At 35.8% G+C, this 19,415-nt stretch overlaps 1 protein-coding gene across 55 annotated transcripts in view; it reads left to right on the top strand.

Annotated features, from left to right (window-relative positions):
• Positions 1-19,415, top strand: part of RHOBTB1 (Rho related BTB domain containing 1) — a 141,108-nt gene that overhangs the window by 59,420 nt on the left and 62,273 nt on the right. For 28 of the 55 annotated variants that reach the window (XR_007062022.1, XR_007062020.1, XR_007062021.1 and 25 more), the window contains one exon: positions 694-744. The exons of 8 other annotated variants lie outside the window; for them this stretch is intronic. The gene's annotated coding sequence lies outside the window, so the exon portion shown is untranslated. Of the gene's footprint in view, positions 1-693; positions 745-1,190; positions 1,247-6,263; positions 6,336-10,035; positions 11,810-19,415 lie in introns of those variants that run through there. 19 more of the 55 variants (XM_024448270.2, XM_047426088.1, XM_047426082.1 and 16 more) reach the window with 6 other exon arrangements.

Here is a 19,415-nt window from a genome sequence, read left to right as displayed (position 1 = left end):
TTCCTGAATCATATTTGGACATATTAATGGGAAAAAGGTTTAACCAGTTGATCCTAGTGCAGAAGGCTTTGGAAAATCATTAGGAAGCAGGAATATCATAGTCAATATACTAATTTTGCCCATGATTGTTTTCCCAGAGTTTGAAGATAGTGTAAAATTTTTTAAGTGCATAACACAGGCTCTGTGATCACACAGGTGGAAATAGAAACACATGTAACAGTTTGATGTTATTGGCTCAATAATACAAATTATAAGCTATACAAATACAACAGGAAAAGCCAAAATTGTTTGGTCTTTTAATTATGATTATATTGTCTAAAAATGCTATTTTGAATAGGATGACCACATCTATGAGTTCTGTATTGTAAAATGCCTGTAAGATTTTCATTGTTATCTATCGGTTTGTGGCCAAATGTTTTTAGGGTTTTGTTTTGTTTTGTTTGTTTTTTTGGTATCGTCCCAAGAGCTCAAAAATATATTTTCACAAATCCTGCAAAATGTTAACCTAGCTATTTCAGGATGTATTTGACCCAAAGAAATGCCACATTAACACTGGCACTTAGCAAAAGTAAAGCAGATTCTTCCCTTTCTCGGGGGAAAAAGAGAAAACAACGTATGTTGAAAATTTTAGTGGCTCCCCATGTACTCCTGGCAGGCAGTAGAATTTATAAAGTATTTCTCTCTTTTATGTAGGTAAGTCCAGCTGTGAGCAGAGTGTTCTGTTCTTCACTTCCAGCAAGCCAGGTCAGTGTCTTTGTGCAAACCCATGACTATAGATTGGTAACATCCTGTGTCTAATTTTGAGCATGCATTTCAGAACAGGTTTCTTAATCATTTGTCTTTTAAAAATTTTGTCTTTGACTTTTTTATGGACTCAGTTATGAATGTCATAAGTTCAATGATTATTAAAATTATTGCTTACTCTGGGAGTACAATGGTACAAATATGGGCCTCAAACCAGTTTGTCCATCATACGACTTTTTATTTTTCACTTTAGGCATCAGAGTGGTGCCCGTGGTTGAGAATACTGGGGATCTGGATGCTTGATAATTGAGGGTTTACTTCTATCCTAATCTTAGCACTCTGGGGCTGGAAGAAACTTGATATAGTAATAATTGACTTATTGAGCATGAATCACGGTTCAGGTAATGTGCTGCATTCTTTATGTTAATATTCTTATTCTGCTTCAGAAAGAAAAAAAAAATCTCTGGGAGGTGAAACCACTGTCTTGAGTCCCAAACTATAGGTGAGGAGTTGGAAGTTTAGAGACATTAGATAATATGTTCAATTCTTACTTCTATTAAATGGCACAAATAGGATTTTTTAAAAAGTTTTTGTCTTACTCTAAGACCTAAACTCTCTAGTTGAAAAATTGTTTTCCAGTAGGGAAACTGAAGACAAAGAAGGTTAAGTGACTTGTCTAAGATAGCTTGGTAATTACTAGCACATATAATAACAATGGCCCAGTTGTTGCAAAATAATAAATTCTATTCTCTTAAGTAAATTAGTGAAATTGTAAGTATTCATGTGTACTTTCTGGCATGACACTGTCAAAGATATAAGAAAGTTTTTATTGTGGGGTCTCTGGCCTTGAAGATTTTATGGAAGATTTAAAAGGCAAGATGTTAAACATTCAGGTATGCAACAATAGAGAATAAATCAAGATTATACTTGCCAGAAGGCTGAATTGGGGATCAATGGTACATTTATGAGAAGTTCAGCATTTTCCACTCTGTGGAATTACTTTGCAATTCCATATATGCATGAAAAAAATTTCCAAGCACATTTTTTTTGTCTGGATAGATGATTAATCGGTGAGAGTTTGGGAAAGGACAGAATGTAGAATTTCAACCCAACAGGGAGAGATTATGTAGTCATCCAGAACCGCTAAATTGCAGTATCTCAAACTCAAAGATGTTATTGCTTCACAAGCATGGTAACCCAAAATTGTGAGCTGTTTGAATCTGCACAGCATCTTTGAGAAAGCATAATTTGGCATGACATTTAAAAGTACTGGATTTTTCCTGGAACCTCAGTTTGTCTGAAAGGCACCACGTAGATGGATTTGGATACATAATAGATAAATCCTAACCAAAGTCCTGATAACAACCAAATATTAAGCAAGACTTTTTCAGGTTTTGCCTGAATTAACAGGCTTCTCTCTCTTCTGTTCCCCTACTTCCCTTCTCCCCTCTTTCTTTTCGTAGAGTAATTTGTAACAGTTGTTAATCCTTCTTAGCTAATTTTATATAAAGGGGTACTAAAAAATGAAATGGGGAACAAATTATTAAAGCAAACCTTAGGATATCATCTTTTTTAATGTGCTGATAACCCCCACTCAAGCTAATAGCTCTAAAATCTTAATTAGTGAAGATATTTTTTAAGCATTTAAAGGGATATTATAAGCTGTCCTATAACACGTCTGTCCTGTAAAAGTTGTTATGTAATGGATCATTACAAAATAGGTCACATTCTATAACAGCACTATTATTATTGGGAAGATCCCATTACAGGCCAAGACCTCATCAACATGATTAGTTGTGATAATGGTATATAATAAAAATATCAATAAAGCAACCATAAATCTATAAAGCACTAAAATTATACTTTGAATCATATAATGTTATGAACAAAAGAGATCTAGGAATTAGCATGGCATCTCTAATAATAATCATTTAGCAATCATTTGTTTTCTCTTTTGAACTTCATAAGGCTTTGGTTAGTATGCATGACTTACCTCTTTAAAAATGGCTGGAAACATTTGAAATTCTGCCATTTTTTGCTCAAGAAAACAGAGAAATGTTTAAAACTGTCGCTTGGTCTTCCTTTTAGAAAATAGGCCATTCACGTTTCCCTCTGGCTCCATGTTTTAGGGTTTAAAGAGCATAGGTGATTTGAATGTGGTTCTTTTGTTCCTCTTTTCTTCTCTGCCAGGCTTCCCACCAACATCACAACACCAAAACAAAACTTGGAGAGGGAGGGAAAAATGAGTTCCAAAAAGTGTGTGTAGACAAGGGTAGGAGATGGGCGAGTGTGTGGGCAGCAGGGAAGAGGAAAAGGAAAGGGGAAGCTTTTAAGGGAAGGGTCAAGAGGCAGTCACTCCAGTGGATGGGATATTTACAGATTAGTTATTTGTTAGCATCATAATTTTTTTATTTTTAGTTTGTAAACAAATAGAACCCACTTCCTCCTCTTCCTGGCACCTTTTGTTTCTTGTGCCCATAGGACAGAAATTGGAAAATTGGCAAAAAGACGCCAAAAATGATGGATGTGTGTGTGAGTATGACTGCCACTTTTTCCAGATGTCCCAGGACACTCCTGTCTTCAGATACTTTCTTGAGCTCTGTCATCAAATACATCACCATGCCTCTGATCAGGCTTTATCCACTAAAGAACGAATTAGCAAGTTTTACAAAGAAAGCGATGCCAATAGGTCTAGAAGAAAGCAATTACATGTCTCCACTCTGCACCTGAGTTTACTTATTGCATAGACACAGGTTAATGGCAAGTTCCCAGCGTTAATGAGGTTATGATCTCAGGTTCCGTCTCTCTGTGGAGAAATTTCCTTTGAATTGGTACCCAACTGTAGACCAAACTCCTAATGACTGCTGTGATAACAATAAACTAGCATTTATGCCCCTACTAGATGCCAAACACGTTAACTAAATTACAGCTAATATTCATTATCAATTCCAATTTTACAGAGGCAAGAAATGGAACTCAGAGATTTTAAAGAACTACTAGGAAACAGAGCTTGGATTTGCACCCAACGCTGTCTAAGAACTTGAATATATATTTGCTCTAAACAAACCCCCCCTCCAAAAAAACAACACTTTAAACCATTTCATTCCAGGTTACTCTTGCAGATGTCGGAGTATAGAAGTTATTCTTCTGGGTTTGTTTCTACTTTGTAAATTTTGTATTTAAATTTGAACTACACAACATTTTTGCCTGGATAAATTGGCTAACTGCTTAGGTCATTTTAAATGTATTTTGATGGAAGTTGTCACAATCTTAAACAGTTGAGTCATAGAGAGTTGAATCATGGAGCCAGGAATGTCCTTATTAAGGACCCTTAGCCCAACCTCATGTGGATGGAAAACACTGGCACCCAGAGAAACAACGTAACTTGACTACTCTCATAGTTAATAAGTGACACAGTCTGAACTGAACCCAGGCTTCCAAGTCCCAGCCAGAGCCCAGTTCCATTACATAACACTGCCTGAAAAGTGCCAAGTCTTCTAAATCTTCCAATGTAGCCTGAAATACAACTAGCAAGTATGATATACATCTGAAACCCAAGGTACATCCAGAAATGCTGATAAGAGAATTCCAGTCGTGCAAAGATATGGTGGGTACTAGGAGAAACCTCACTTATCTTCAGTGGTGCTGAGATAAAATAGTCTTTTTCTCTTATTCAAAACATAACACCCTTCTAAGCTGTCTTTGTTACATAAACCCTTCCAAGCTGTCTTTCTTAAGTGATCTGTTCGATGCTTTTTCATTTTGACCAAACTCTGGCATTTCATTAACTATGCAACTTCGGTGAAATATGACCTTACTTTCCTCAACTGTAAAATGGGAACAGCATCCCCTCCCCCCTCAGAGGGTTATGAGGATGTTATAAAATCCTCATGCATGTAAAGCACATAGTAGGTGCTCAGTAAGGGTTAGCTCTCTTCTTAGCCTTCCTAGAGTATCTCGAAAGAAAGTCTTTTAACATATTAGGCAGTTGTATCATTTTTGTCTCTAAATTTACTGGAGTCATTTGAATTCTGATATTTTAAGGAATGGTTATAGGAACCTTTTTTTCTTGAACACAACAGGCCGAGTGGTCTCTCTGGGTTCCAGTGGCCCAGTCTCCATTACACTTGTTTTCTTCACACTCTAAGGTTGCCAAAGTTTACTTGCATTGAATTATTTTATTGCCTTAGTTTCTGCTGCAAACGAATACCAAGCTTCTCTTGCAGATTTGTGGCTCTCATTTTCTTCCAGACACTGTTCCTAAGTAGCTAACGTGTTTTCTACATGGAACTTTGTATCTCAAAGCCACTATTTCCAGCCAGATAACTAAGAAATATTTCCAGAGAATATTATTGCCAGTAGAAAATTTTTGCTTTCAATTTTGAAACATGAGACTTTCCTACCTTCATTTCAATTCACTGTAGTATTGAGTATTTGAGGTATGCTGCTCCTGTTTTTTCTTTTTGTCACGTGTTGCTGACTGATATATTGATAGGAAAAGCATAAACACCACAATTTCCCCATTTCATCTGCAGCACTTGATAACTACCCTGGCCTAAATTACATCACTGGGAAGTGTTTTGTGCACTCCTCTCCCCAGCTGCCACATTTTCTCATGTGGCACTTGCTGCCCTGCTTTGGACTTTTGGAACCGAGTCCTTGCCAACACATCCAATTCATCACATACGCGGAAGAAAGCTACTGCTTTGATATTTTTTTTAAATACTTGTACCTGTTCTTCCTTTTTTAGTAATAATCCAAGTGGCCTAGAATAGACTATATTATCCTGGTGGTGCAATTTCACTTTTAGTATTTGGTAAATGCATATTGCAAGATGGATGTCCTTCTTCAAATTTAGAAGTAGCAAGTATATGTCTTTCCCAGTGCTATGAAGTGGCTGAACTGGGGCTAGGTGCTGAGAACTCACCAACTGCTATGTTGTCCTTAACCTTCTACTAATCTCAAATTGATTATATGTAAGTTTTTATTTTTACCAAGGAATTAATTGCTTTTAGAGCTGTGCTCAAGCTTTCATGTGCATACAACAAAAATGGGCATCTTGTTAAAGTGCAGATTATGATTCAGTAATTCTGGGATGGGGCCTGAGATTATGCATTTCTAACAAGTTCCCCATTGATGCCAGTGCTGCTGTTCTGTGGACCACACTTTGAGTCATGAGGTTCTAAAGAATAGTGGTTACTATATCTTACGCTGAAATTCATGCTTAATAGGCCATAACCAGACCGCCTTATTTTATTTGCTTGTTTCTTAAATCATAATAGAGTCATGGAATCTTAAATATAGGAGGGATGTAGGCGGTGATGACCTGGTAAATCAACCAGCTCTCCTGGAAAAAAGTAAAATGCATGTATGTGCATACGCAAATTGACATAAATTTTAATCACATAAAGAATGTGTGGTACACACTTTACAAATAATAATAAACTCTATAATACTTGATATTATAAATTCAATATAGCCAGTTGGGTCTCACAGAATGCCTTTGTTGTTTTTTGCAGAACTCTTCTATCCATAGGCCAACCTATGTTGCAGTTGATTAAGGGGTGCAGCTCCCATATAAATGCTGGCAGGTATTTTCCTTTATGTTAATCAGTAAGACAAAAGTGAAACATCAAAGACGTACGTCAGAACTCTACTCATTCATCCATGATGGGAATCACTTCCTTGCTGAACCAGATGATAAATTTTAATACTGAAAGAATATTTTTCAAATGTACTATTCATAGTGTAACACCTACACATATAGCACACTTTAAAGTTTAATCTCCATTATTAACACTGTTAAATTATTTTCTTAGATCTAGAACAATAAAGCAAGCACTGATTGGTAGTGGCTGCTGATTTCTGTGGTGTAAATATTCCCACCATGGCCAATTTCAAGCTACTGATGTGGCTGAGCACAGAGTTGGAAAGAGATGATGCAGTGTCACACCATTATATTGTACTTTCACCATATAGATAAAATTGGCATGAATAGCCTCAAAATATAGTTAATAGTAAATAGAAATAACCAGAAAATGATGCATTTTGAGTACTTATTATCTTTGTTTTTGGTATAATTTATTTAATTGTAAATTTATGTAATTTAATTTTTAATACTGGCACTAATGGGCCTGCAAAATTCCTAAAAATTTAACAACTAGTTCTTGTGGGCTAGTAGGGGCTGGCTTCTGCACAGATCATATAGATCATCTGGTGTAGTGATTCCCAACCTTGCTTTACACTGAAATACCTCAAAGAACTTAGAGCCCACAGTTTTAGTAGATCCACATTAGGGCCCAGGAATCTGAACTAAAAACGTTTTTATTGAAGTATATCTTATATTTAAAAAAAAATTATCAGTATATAACAAAAAGTTTTCCTAAATTGAACACACTCACATAACCAGCACCTAAATACAGAAACAGAACATTACCAGCACCCAGAAGCCCTTCTCATGCCCCTATCCAGCCACTACCCAATCAATGTAACCCTTATCTTGACTTCTAATACCATAAATTAGTTTTGCCTGCTTTTGGACTTTATATAAATGAAATCATATCCTATGTATTCTTTTGTGCCTGGCTTCAATATTATGTTTGTGAGATTCATCCATAATGTATGCAGCAGTAGTTCATTCATTTTTAGTAGTGTATAATATTCCATTGTATAAATAGTCCTCAATTTATTATTTTTAATCCATTTTACTGTTGATGGGTTGTTTCCAGTTGTTGGCTGTTTTGGATAGTGCTGCCAAGAACATTCTTGTACAGATAGCAGTATGCAAAACAAAACAAATCCCCCAGTGAGTCTAATGAGCAGCCAATCTCGACTGCCTTCTCTATATCTTCCCCTCCTCTCTATGTCTCATATAACATGCCCACGGCTGTTGATCCTTTCATGTGAATGTACTTTTAAAACATAAGCAATGAAGCCCATGTGCTTCCATTCATTAAAGTATGTTCTCCTGGCTCTTTACAATACACGTTCACCAGCTCTCCGTTTCATCAAGATATCTGCATTTGTTCTCTCTAAATAGGGATGAGATTTGGCCTCACTTCAGTAAGCATGGGAGAATAATAGACACAGTGGACATGGAGCCAAAGGCTAAATTTGGCAGCTGATCATTAAGGCTCCTGGAAAGAGGCTTCAAGTAAAGGAACTTGTTTCCCTTTGTGTATATCAAACAAAAGTCAACAATGAACCGTTATATCAGATTCTAATATTCTTTAAACTCTATTTATTTGAAGTAGACCAGGGACTCTCTTCTGACATGACTACTGAAATCTCTCAAAGTCTCATGTCTTGATCTGGAAAGATTAGAGAATGTTTTCCCATGGTCTTGTTCCTGTACCTAGCATTCAACAGGTGTATCCTTGTTGCATTGTTCTATGCTGAGGGGCTATGTAGGTTTTGTGGTTGGGCCTATTGAGGTATTAGTTCCTTTGATATAAGTAAAGGGAGCTGAATAACCAGGAACTCCAAGATGATATATTGATGAGTGGGACGTCTGCTCAGGACTGAAAAGAAGGTTTCAGGAGCAGCAAGCCTGTTCCCTACCATATGAAAGGCAGTTCACATAAAGTTCTTAAGGTACACAGAGAGAAGGTCAAGAGTAGATGTTAATTTCACATAATGAAGGAAGAATGTTTTCTCACACACAAAGATATTTTATTTCCTTGTTTTCCTACCTCCTTGCCCTCTTTTTTGTAAAATTTCTTTATGTCACAAAGAACACATGTTCACTATAGAAGAGATGGAATATATAGATGAGAAAAATGAAAAAAATTAAAATGAATTATAATCCTATCCTATAAAAAGTTGTTGGCATTAATATTTTAGTATATCTATATCTCAATCTCTTTGTGTGTATTTAGGCACATAAGTTTTAAGGAGTGGTGTTATTCTGTAAATTTTTAAATCTCTTTTAATTTAAAGATTGTTCATGAACATCTCAATATAACAATGAGTGTACTCCTATAACACATTTTTGATGGACATATATTAGTTTTTTTTTAATCCATCTCCTGTGTTTGGACTTCTAAAGTTATTTTTGTTTCCACAAATAGTGATATGATGATGAACATTCCTTTTTTTTTTCTTTTTTGACGGATTCTCACTCTCACCTAGGCTGGAGTGCAATGGCGTGGTCTCGGCTCACTGCAACCTCCGCCTCCTGCCTCAGCCTCCCGACTAGCTTGGACTACAGGCACGTGCCACCACACCCAGCTAATTTTTATATTTTTAGTAGAGACTAAGTTTCACTATGTTGGCCAGGCTGGTCTCGAACTCCTGACCTTGTGATCTGCCTGCCTCAGCCTCCCAAAGTGCTGGGATTACAGGCGTGAGCCACCGCACCCAGCCAATGAACATTCTTTAAATGAAATCTTTTTCTATACATTTATTATTTTTCCAGGAATAAAACCTTAAAATTGGATGAAAGTTATGACATTTTAAAGTCTTTTGCCTTAAAATTTCTAGTCGCACTCCAGACTGGTATCATTTTCCACTTCCACAAACAGTGCTTCATCCTGCTTTTTAAAATTGTACAATCTTTCATGTAATAATTTCTACCTAAAGTTGGAAGGTATAGGAACATGCCCTGAAAAATACTAGCTAGAAGCTATTCATTGTTATTAGCCAATAACTTCAAATAAAGTAAGAGATCTTAAGAAGTCTGGTTAATTTTCCACCAGCACTTTTGCATTTATGGTCTAACGTTGCTGTGAAAACCTGAAAAAAGTTTCTTGTTTGCCTGAATCAAAGCATAGCCTAGTCCTAACGAGCATATGATAGTCTCATAAATGTTTACATACAATTGCTTGATTGTCATTGTATCAGAAGACCACAGCAGGTGGTCACGCTGCTGCTTCAGAAGCTAACTCGGTAACATCTTTAGAGAATGCTTTCAGTGAGTAACTTACTACAGAAGGTAGTGGAGACTTTTCTTCATGAATATGGGTTTTTAAACACCCATAGTCTACAGCCTTGATATTAGCTTTCTCAAATGAGTGCTTAGTATATCTCTATCTCAATCTTTTTGTGTGTATTTAGGCACATAATTTTTAAGGAGTGGTGTTATTCTGTAAATTTTTAAATCTTTTTTAATTTAAAGATGTATCATGAACATCTTTGCCATCTCTAAAGACTTGACCAATATTTTGATTATTAATTCTTGACAAAGCTTCCCGATCCAGCCCTTAGATGTGCCCCACCCCCATGAGGACGATAGGGCCTCCAAAATCCATGTGTAGGGTTTCTTGTTTCTGTCTTTTTTTTTTTTTTTTTTTACTTTAAGAAAGTATTGAAGTATAACACATAGAGAAATGTATGCAGATCGCAAATGTACAGCTTGATGACTTTTTGCAAACTGAACATATCTATGTAACTGGCACCTAGATCAAGAACCAGTACACCACCAGTGCCCTACTTCTGGTCACCACCCCACTCCACCCTCAGTGTGTTTGAAACACCTCACATTTTATGTCCAGGGTAAGTCCTTCATTTACAGAATTCTATGTTTGCCTGAACCATTACTTTATATGAGCTAGCTACTGTTAGCTTACATCAAGGTGTCTCCCTTGTCACTGAAAATGTGTAGACGTCTGCCTAAGTAAAGATTACAATGTTAAATTTGGGCACTGAGTGTACATCAATATTTATGTGTTTGTGATTTCCAGGTACACAAATACATACATGGCATGCATACCAACAAATCTGGAACTACTTTCTTCTTAATGAATGTAAAACTGAATTATGCTATATTGATCTAAGCTTAGAATATCTTTAACTACAATTGATTGCCACAGAATATTTCATGTGCCCTGTTTCCAGTTTTTTAAAATTGCTCATTTCAGTTACCATAAGTATTCCTTTTGAATGCTCAAGATTTCAAAGCCAAGAATTTTTCATCTTCTGTTTGAGGTAGAATTGTATGTGTTTGTCCTGAATATCCACAGCTGTCTTTTTATATGGTTCAATTTCTGTGTCTGATACTCAGAAAAACATCATTTTGATTCCTGTGGGGTTTTTTTTATGTGAGAGCTTGAGTCAGAGAAAGAAACAGGTTTAGCAGGCTCTCTATGCTTTATATATACATATAGTTTTGAAAAAACAATTTATGTGTTATCAAAAATCATGTATTATTATTGGGTTGTATAAGTGTACTCTTAGAAGTGAAAATCAAGGGTTATACTTAATATACCCATTAGTTTTTTAAAAAGCTAAAACGTCTTTCTCATTATAGAAGTAATATGTCTAAGAATATTTTTCAGCCATAAAAAGTAATGGAGTAGTGAAAGGTGCTACAATATGGATGAAAATTGAAAATACTATGCTAAGTGAAAGAAGACAGACACAATAGGCCACATATTGCATGATTCCATTTATATGAAGTGTCCAGAATAGGAAAATCTGTAGAGACAGAAAGTAGATTCGTGGTTGCCAGAGCTGGGGAGAACGAGAATAAAGAATGACTGCTAGTGGGCACAAGGTTTCTTTGGGGGATAATGGAAATATTCTGGAATTAGATCGCAGGAATGGTTGCACAACCCTGTTAATATCATAAACACCACTGAATTGTATACTTTAAAAGAATGAGATGTGTAGCACGTGGATTTTATCTCACATTTTTTTAAAAAAATAAGACGTGCATTGTAGAAAATTTGGAATCAAAAGAAAAGTAGAAAATGGCAGGAACAAGTTATAGCCTCATTGTCCAGCAACAATTACTGTTGCTTTCTAGTGTATTTCCTTTCAGTTTGTTTTGTTTTTCATGTATTGTTGTTGCAGAGGGAAGACTTCAATATTGCTTCCTGTTACATGACAGAGATACAGTTATTAAATGTTAAATAGTCACATATTAAAATCAACCCAACCCCCTTAAAAAAGGGCAGGTCCCAAGAAAGATTCGTTTATTTGTCGGAGGGAATAATGGATGGGAATGCCAATAAGACAAGCAGAGAATGATGGCTAGCCCTGTAAGAAGGGATGAAGAAGAACCTGAAGGGAAGAGATCCCAGGTCCTGAGAGGCAGAAAGACAGATTTGAGCAGTTGCCATGAAAGGTGAGACTCCAGAGGGAAACATTTCAAAGAGACTTTTTTAGGAGGTTCACTGTAAGGTGCATAATAGGTGAGGTAAGCCATGCCTCTCTATTCATAAGCAGCTACATGGTTCACAGCTTTCCAAGAATCAGTTTGTGTTTCTTTCTGCTATGTCACTCTGCTAAGACAGTGCTTCATGTGAATGCATGAGGCCCAATTTTATTTGGGTTGCACATACTTATTTACTGTTGTTTCAGTCGAATGTATTTCACATTACTATTCCACACTTTCCCCTCAATAATAGCAGCATTTCTCTGGATTATTGCAAACTCATCATAAGCATAACTTCTATGACAATATTAATAGATAAGACTTACTGATGTTCTCTTGATACCAAGCACAGAGATTGAAATATTTCACAAGCATTATCTAATATAATCTTCACAACAATCCGTGGAAGGAGATAATTATCCCCAGTTCACAGATAAGAATATAGAGGCTCCGACAGATTAATTTGCCTAAAATCACTTAGCAAGTATCTTAATCATTCCCTCACTTGTCATAGGTTGTTTTCATTTTTTTTCTTAAAGATGTGGTAAATATATTTGCTTTTAAAACATTTCCCATTTATAAAATTGTTACCTTAGATGGATATATTAGAAAGTATTTTCTTAATTTCCAAGGGTTGAGATTTTTTTGTTCATATTATAGAGCTTTTCCTTTCAATTGTTTCATTTACTTCTTTGCAGCCAGAGAATTTGGTTGACAACAATTTACACTTTGGGGGATTTGGGGCCTTATGGCCCAGTATGTGGTCAGCTTTTTAAATGTGCCAAGAACACTTGAAAGAAAGCTGTCTTTTTGTAGGTTTAAAAAATGTGGGATATTTATTAATTTAGCCTTAGTATTTGTTATTCAGATCCTCCATGTGTTGTTTATTTCACTTTCTTAATCTGACATTGGTTTATTCTGATTTTTTGTTCCATATATTTGTTATTGTTGTGAATTTCTCCTTATACTTAAAAAGTTTTCTTCATTTTATTATATGCTTTTTGGTCTATGAAGGTTCATGTTACTTCTATTATGAATTGGCCTTTTGTAACCTTCTAGATTATCTCTGGCAGATAATTTTTCTATACCATTTTGTAACTAAATTCAAAATAACTATGTAGGATGATCTTACATTTTTTTGGCTTTGGTTTCCATAGTTCTTTAAAGCCTGGGTACCTTTTGTTTGTTTGTTTTTAGTATTTAATTTTCAATTATCTCTAGGTGTTTTCGCTAGTATCTTTGAGCAGTTTCCTTAAGGGAACTTGGGTTTTTGACCTGAGTCTTTGATATCTAAGAACAACTTTATGTTGCTTTCGTATAAATATCAATTTGGCCCAAGTCAGAAATGTATTATTATGTCCTTTTTCTTTCAAGAATCTGTTTTTTTAATTTTTCATTTTCAATTATTATGGATGCATGTTAGTTGTACATATTTATGGGGTACATGTGATATTTTGCTACAAACATAAAATGTGTAATAATCAAATCATGGTAATTGGGTGATATGGTTTAGTTCTGTGTCCCCACCCAAATCTCATATCCAATTATAATCCCCACATGTTGAAGGAGGGGCCTGGTGGGAGGTGATTGAATCATGGGGGCAAACTTCCCCCTTGCTATTCTCATATTGGAGTTCTCAGGAGATCTGATTGTTTAAAAGTGTATAGCACTTACCCCTTTGGTATCTCTCTCCTGCTGCCATGTGAAGACATGCTTGCTTCCCCTTCACCCTCCACCATGATTTTAAGATTCCTGAGGCCTCCCAAGCCATGCTTCCTGTACTGCCTGTAGAACTGTGAGTCAGCTACACCTCTTTTCTTTATAAATTACCCATTCTCAATTCTTTATAGCAATGTGAGAACAGACTACTACATTGGGGTTTCCATAACCTCAAGCATTTATCATTTTTTTGTGTTAGAAACATTCCAATTTCACTCTTAGTTATTTTTAACTATACAATAAATTATTGTTAATTTACTATAGTTGCCCCATTGTGCTACCAAACACTAGATCTTACTCCTTCTATGTAACTGTATTTTTTACCCACTAACCATCCCCTTTCTACTCCCCTTTCCACTACCCTTTCCAGCCTCTGCTAACCACCATTCTATTATATTCTCTACTTCCATGAGCTCAAATTTTTTGGAGCTCCTGTATATGAGTGAGAACATGAAATATTTGTCTTTTAGTGCCTGGTTTATTTTATTTAACATAATATCCTCCAGTTCCATCCATGTTGTTTCAAACAACAGGATTTCTTATCCATTCATCTGCTGATGGACACAGGTTTATTCCATATCTTGGTTATTGTAAGTAGTGCTGCAGTAAACATGGGAATGCAGATATCGCTTTGATATACTGATTTTCTTTTTTTTTTTGTTTTGGATATATACCCATCAGTGGGATTACTGGCTCATAAGATAGTTTGATTTTTAGTTTTTGAGGAACATCCATATAGTTTTCCAAAATGGCCGTGCTAATTTGCATTCTCAGCAACAGCTTGCAAGGGTTCCCCTTTCTGTACATCCTCACCAGCAATCATTATTGCCTTTTTCATAAAAGCCATTTTAACTGCGGTGAGATTATATCTTATTGTAGTTTTCACTTGCATTTCTCTGATGACGAATGATGTTGAGCATTTTTTCATATGTGTTGGCTATTTGTACATCCTTTTCTGAGAAATATCTATGCAGTTCCTTTGCCATTTTTAAATTGGATTTTTTTTCTGTTGAGTTGTTTGAGCTGCTCATATATTCTGGTTATTAATCCCTTGTCAGATGGGTAATTTGCAAATATTTTCTCCCATTCCGTGGATTGTCTCTTTACTTTATTGACCGTTTCCTTTGCTGTGCTTGATGTAATCCCATTTGTCCATTTTTGCTGTGAGATCTCAGGAAATCTTTGTCCAGCCCAATGTCCTAGAGTGTTTCCTCAATATTTTCTTATAATCGTTTCATCGTTTGAGGTCTTAGATATAAGTATTTAATCTATTTTGATTTAATTTTTGTATACAGCATGAGACAGGTGTCTAGTTTCATTCTTCTGCTTATGGATAGCCAGTTTTCCCAGCATCATTTATTGAAGAGACTGCCTTTTCCCCAGTGTATGTTCTCAGCACCTTTGTCAAAAATAAGTTGGCTGTAAATGTGGGAATTTTTTTCTGGGTTCTCTATTCTCTTCCATTGGTCAGTGTGTCTGTTTTTATGACTGTCCCATGCTTTTTTGGTTACTATAGCTTTGTAGTATGATTTGAAGTCAGATAATGTGATGCCTCCAGCTCTATTCTTTTTGCTCAGGTTAGCTGTTATGGTTAATACTGAGTGTCAACTTGACTGGATTGAAGGATGCAAAGTGTTGATCCTGGGTGTGTCTGTAAGGGTGTTGCCAAAGGAGATTAACACTTGAGTCAGTTGAATCTGTAGATTGCATTGGGTGGTATGGGCATTGTAACAATATCGATCTTCCCATCTATGAACATGGAGTATCTTTCCATTTTTTGTGTCCTTAATGTCTTATAGCTTTCATTGTAGGTAACTTTCACTTCTTTGGTTAAGTTTATTCCTAGGCATTTTGTTTTATTTGTAGCTATGATAAATTGGATTACTTTCTTGATTTCTTTTTCATATTGTTCATTGTTGGCATATAGCAATGCTACTTATTTTAGTATACTGATTTCATATCCTGAAACTTTACTATTTATCAGTTCTGATAGTTTTTTGTGGGATCTTTAGTGTCTCCTAAATATAAGATATCATCTGCAACCAAGGATAATTTGACTTCTTCCATTACAATTTGAATGTCCTTTATTTCTTTCTCATGTCCAATTGCTCTGACTAGAATTTCTAGTATTATGTTGAATAAAAGTGGTAAAAGTGGGCATGCTAGTCTTCTTCCAGATCTTAGAAAAAAGGCTTTCACTTTTTCCTCATTCAGTATGATACTAGCTGCCAGTCTGTTGTATATTGCTTTTATTGTGTTGAGATATGTTCCTTCCATACCCAGGTTTTTGGGAATTTTTATCATGAAGGATGTTGAATTTTATTGAATGCTGCTTTGGCATCTATTGAAATGATCATATTGTTTTTTTCCTTCATTCTGTTCAGATGATGTGTCACATTTATTGATTTGCATATGTTGAACCATCCTTACATCCCTGGGATGAATTTCACTTGATCATGATGAATAATCTTTTTAGTGTGTTGTTGAATTTGATTTGCTAGCATTATATTGAGGAATTTTGCATCTATGTGTATTAGATATATTGGCCTATAGCTTTCTTTCTTTGTTGTGTCTTTGTCTGCTTGTGGTATCAGGATAACACTGGTCTCATAGAATAAGTTTGGAAGTATTCCTTCCTTCTTGATTTTTTGAAATAGCTTGAGTAGGATTGCTATTAATTCTTCTTTAAGTGTTTGGTAGAGTTTAGCAGTGAAGCCATCAGGTCTTGTCCATATTTATTTATTTATTTATTTTGGACAGAGTGTTGCTCTGTTGCCCTGGCTGGAGTGCAGTTGTGCGATCTCAGCTTACTGCAACCCTTGCCTCCCAGGTTCAAGTGAGTCTCCTGCCTCAGCCTCCCGAGTAGCTGAGATTAGTAGCATGTGCCACCACACCTGGCTAATATTTGTATTTTTAGTAGAGACGGGGGACGGGGTGCACCATGTTGGTCCGGCTGGTCTTGAGCTCCTGACCTCAAGTGATCTGCCCGCCTCGGCCCCACAAAGTGCTAGGATTACGGGTGTGAGACACCACGCCCAACTATGTCCTGGCCATTTATTTGATGGGAGACTTTTTATTACTGCTTCAATCTGGTTACTTGCTATTGGTCTATTCAGATTTTGTATTTCTTCATGGCTCTATCTTTGTAGGCTGTATATGTCTAGGAATTTGTCCATTTCTTCTAGGTTTTCCAGTTTATTGACATATAGTTATACATAATGGTCTCTAATGATTCTTTGAATTTCAGCAGTATCAGTTGTAACATCTCTTTTTTATATGTGATTTTATTTATTCGGGTCTTCTTTTTTTTCTTAGTCTGGCTAAAGATTTGTCCATTTTACTTATCTTGTCAAAAAAATTCATTTTGTTGATTTTTTCTATTTTTATCTCAATTTCATTTATTTCTGCTCCGATCTTTATTAATTCTTCTACTAATTTTGGGTTTAGTTTGCTCTTGCTTTTCTAGTTCTTTACGATATATTATAAGGTTGTTTATTTGAGGTTTTTCTACTTTTTCGATATAGGCATTTATTGCAATAAACTTTCCTCTGAGTACCATTTGTGCAGTGTTCCATAGGTTTTGGAATGTTGTGTTTGTATTTTCATTTATTTCAATAAATTTTTAAGGTTTCTTTTTACTTTCTTCAATGACTCAACATTCATTCAGGAGCATATTAGTCTTTTCTTGCATTGCTATAAAGAAATACCTGAGACTGAATAATTTATAAAGAAAAGAGATTTAATTGGCTCATGGTTTTGCAGTCTTTACATGAAGCATGGTGCTGGCATCTCCTCAGCTTCTGGAGAGACCTCAGGAAGCTTATAATCATGGTGGAAGGTAAGAGGAGAGCAGGAATGTCACATGGCCAGAGGAGGAGCAATAGGGAGAGAGAGCATGGGGTAGGGAAGGAGCCACACAGTTTTAAATGACCAGATCTTGTGTGAACTGAGAGCAAGAGTTCACTTATCACCAAGAGGATGGCTCAAGCCATTCATGAGTGATCTATCCCCGTCATCTAAACACTTGCCACCAAGCCCCAACTCTAACATTGGGGATTACAATTTAACATGAGATTGGGTCAGGGAAAAGTACCCAAACTATATCTAAGAGCATATTGTTTGATTTCCATGTGTTCATAAAGTTTCCAAAGTTCCTCTTGTTATTGATTTCTAGTTTTATTCCGTTGTGGTCAGAAAAGATACTGGATATAATTTTTTAAAAATTTTTGAGACTTGTTTTGTGGCCTAACATATGGTCTATCCTTGGGAATGTTTCATGAGCTAAGGAGAAGAATATGTATTCTGCAACTGTTGGATGAAATGTTCTGTAAATGTCTGTTAGGTCCATTTGGTCTATAGTGCAGACTAAGTCTGATGTTTTTTTCTTGGTTTTCTGTCTAGATGATCTTTCCAATGCTGAAGGTGGGATACTGAAGTCCCTGGCTCTTACTATATCAGGGTCTCTCTCTCTCTCTCTTTAGCTCTAATAATATTTGCCTTATATATCTGGATGCTCGAGTGTTGACTGCTATATCCTCTTGCTTAATTGACCCCTTTGTCATTATATAATGACCTTCTTTGTCTCTTTTTACAGTTTTTGTCTTGAAATCTATCTTATCTGATATAAATATAACTAATTCTGCTCTTTTTTGGCGGGTTTTATTTGCATGGAATACCTTTTTCCATCCTTAAGTCTCTGTTACATGTTTTTAAAATCGTCTTCAAATAGTGTCTTGGTGAAATTTATAGTCATTCGTATCATTATTTCTTTATGGAGAGGGTTTGTGTCCATTAGTTTTGGAAGACATTTTGATAAGATACAATGGGATTCTTGTACAATTTGTTTGTCATTGATATGTAAACATTTTACTGAAAAAAAATACACAGATTTGGAGTCTTCCATTGTTTTTCTCCTCCTTCTTCTCCTCCTTGCTTTTCCCTGCTCCTTCCTCTTTTTTGTAGTGGGAACATTTTGTTCTATTAAATCACACTCCGCTCCTCAGTTCTTCAGGAACACATACTATATTAATCCATTTTCACATGGCTGATAAAGATATACCCAAGACTGGGTAATTTATAGAGAAAATGAGGTTTCATGGACTCGTGTTCCATGTGGCTGAGGAGGCCTCACAATCATGGTGGAAGGTGAGAGGCAGACAAGGAAAAAAATGAGATCCAAGTGAAAGCAGAAACTCTTTACAAAAACATCAGATCTTGATCTTGTGAGACTTAGTCACTATCCCGAGAACAGTATGGAGTAAACCACCCCCATGATTCAATTATTTCCCACTGGGTCCCTCTCACAACACATGGGAATTAGGGGAGCTACAATTCAGGATGAGATTTGGATGGAGACACAACCAAACCATATCGCATACTATTCAAGAGATTGCATTTTGACAGTCAGTCTCTTTATTGTCTTTGGTCAATCATGAGTAAAGACAAAGAAAGATTGTCTTTACTTCTGTATTTAGAGAGAACTTCTTAGGCTTGACCTGTACCTCACTAATTAATTTTACAACATTTTCAAGTCTACTATGTACTGTTGCCAGCACGGCTTTCAATTTGGTGACCTTATATTTCATTTGTACTTGGTCTTTATCTTGTCTCATTAACTACTTATAATTTCATCTGCTATTAGTTTATAAATGTACATTATCTTCTTTTACATGGTTAAGTACATGAATCAGATGTTTGAAGTTTTTTTCTGCTGTTTTATATAGCATGTTTATCTAAGTGGAACACCTGTTTTCTGTGCCTTTAGGTAATTGCTTGTACATGTCTATGCTTCAAGGTTTTTAATAGGTCATATGTTGAATGGTCTCTGTTTACACTATCCATACACAAAAGGATTCAC

This window comes from Homo sapiens, chromosome 10 (assembly GCF_000001405.40).
Source record: "Homo sapiens chromosome 10, GRCh38.p14 Primary Assembly".
Classification (NCBI taxonomy): domain Eukaryota; kingdom Metazoa; phylum Chordata; class Mammalia; order Primates; family Hominidae; genus Homo; species Homo sapiens.
Note: the sequence above shows the minus strand (reverse complement) of the source record. Positions and strands in the feature narration are given on the sequence as shown.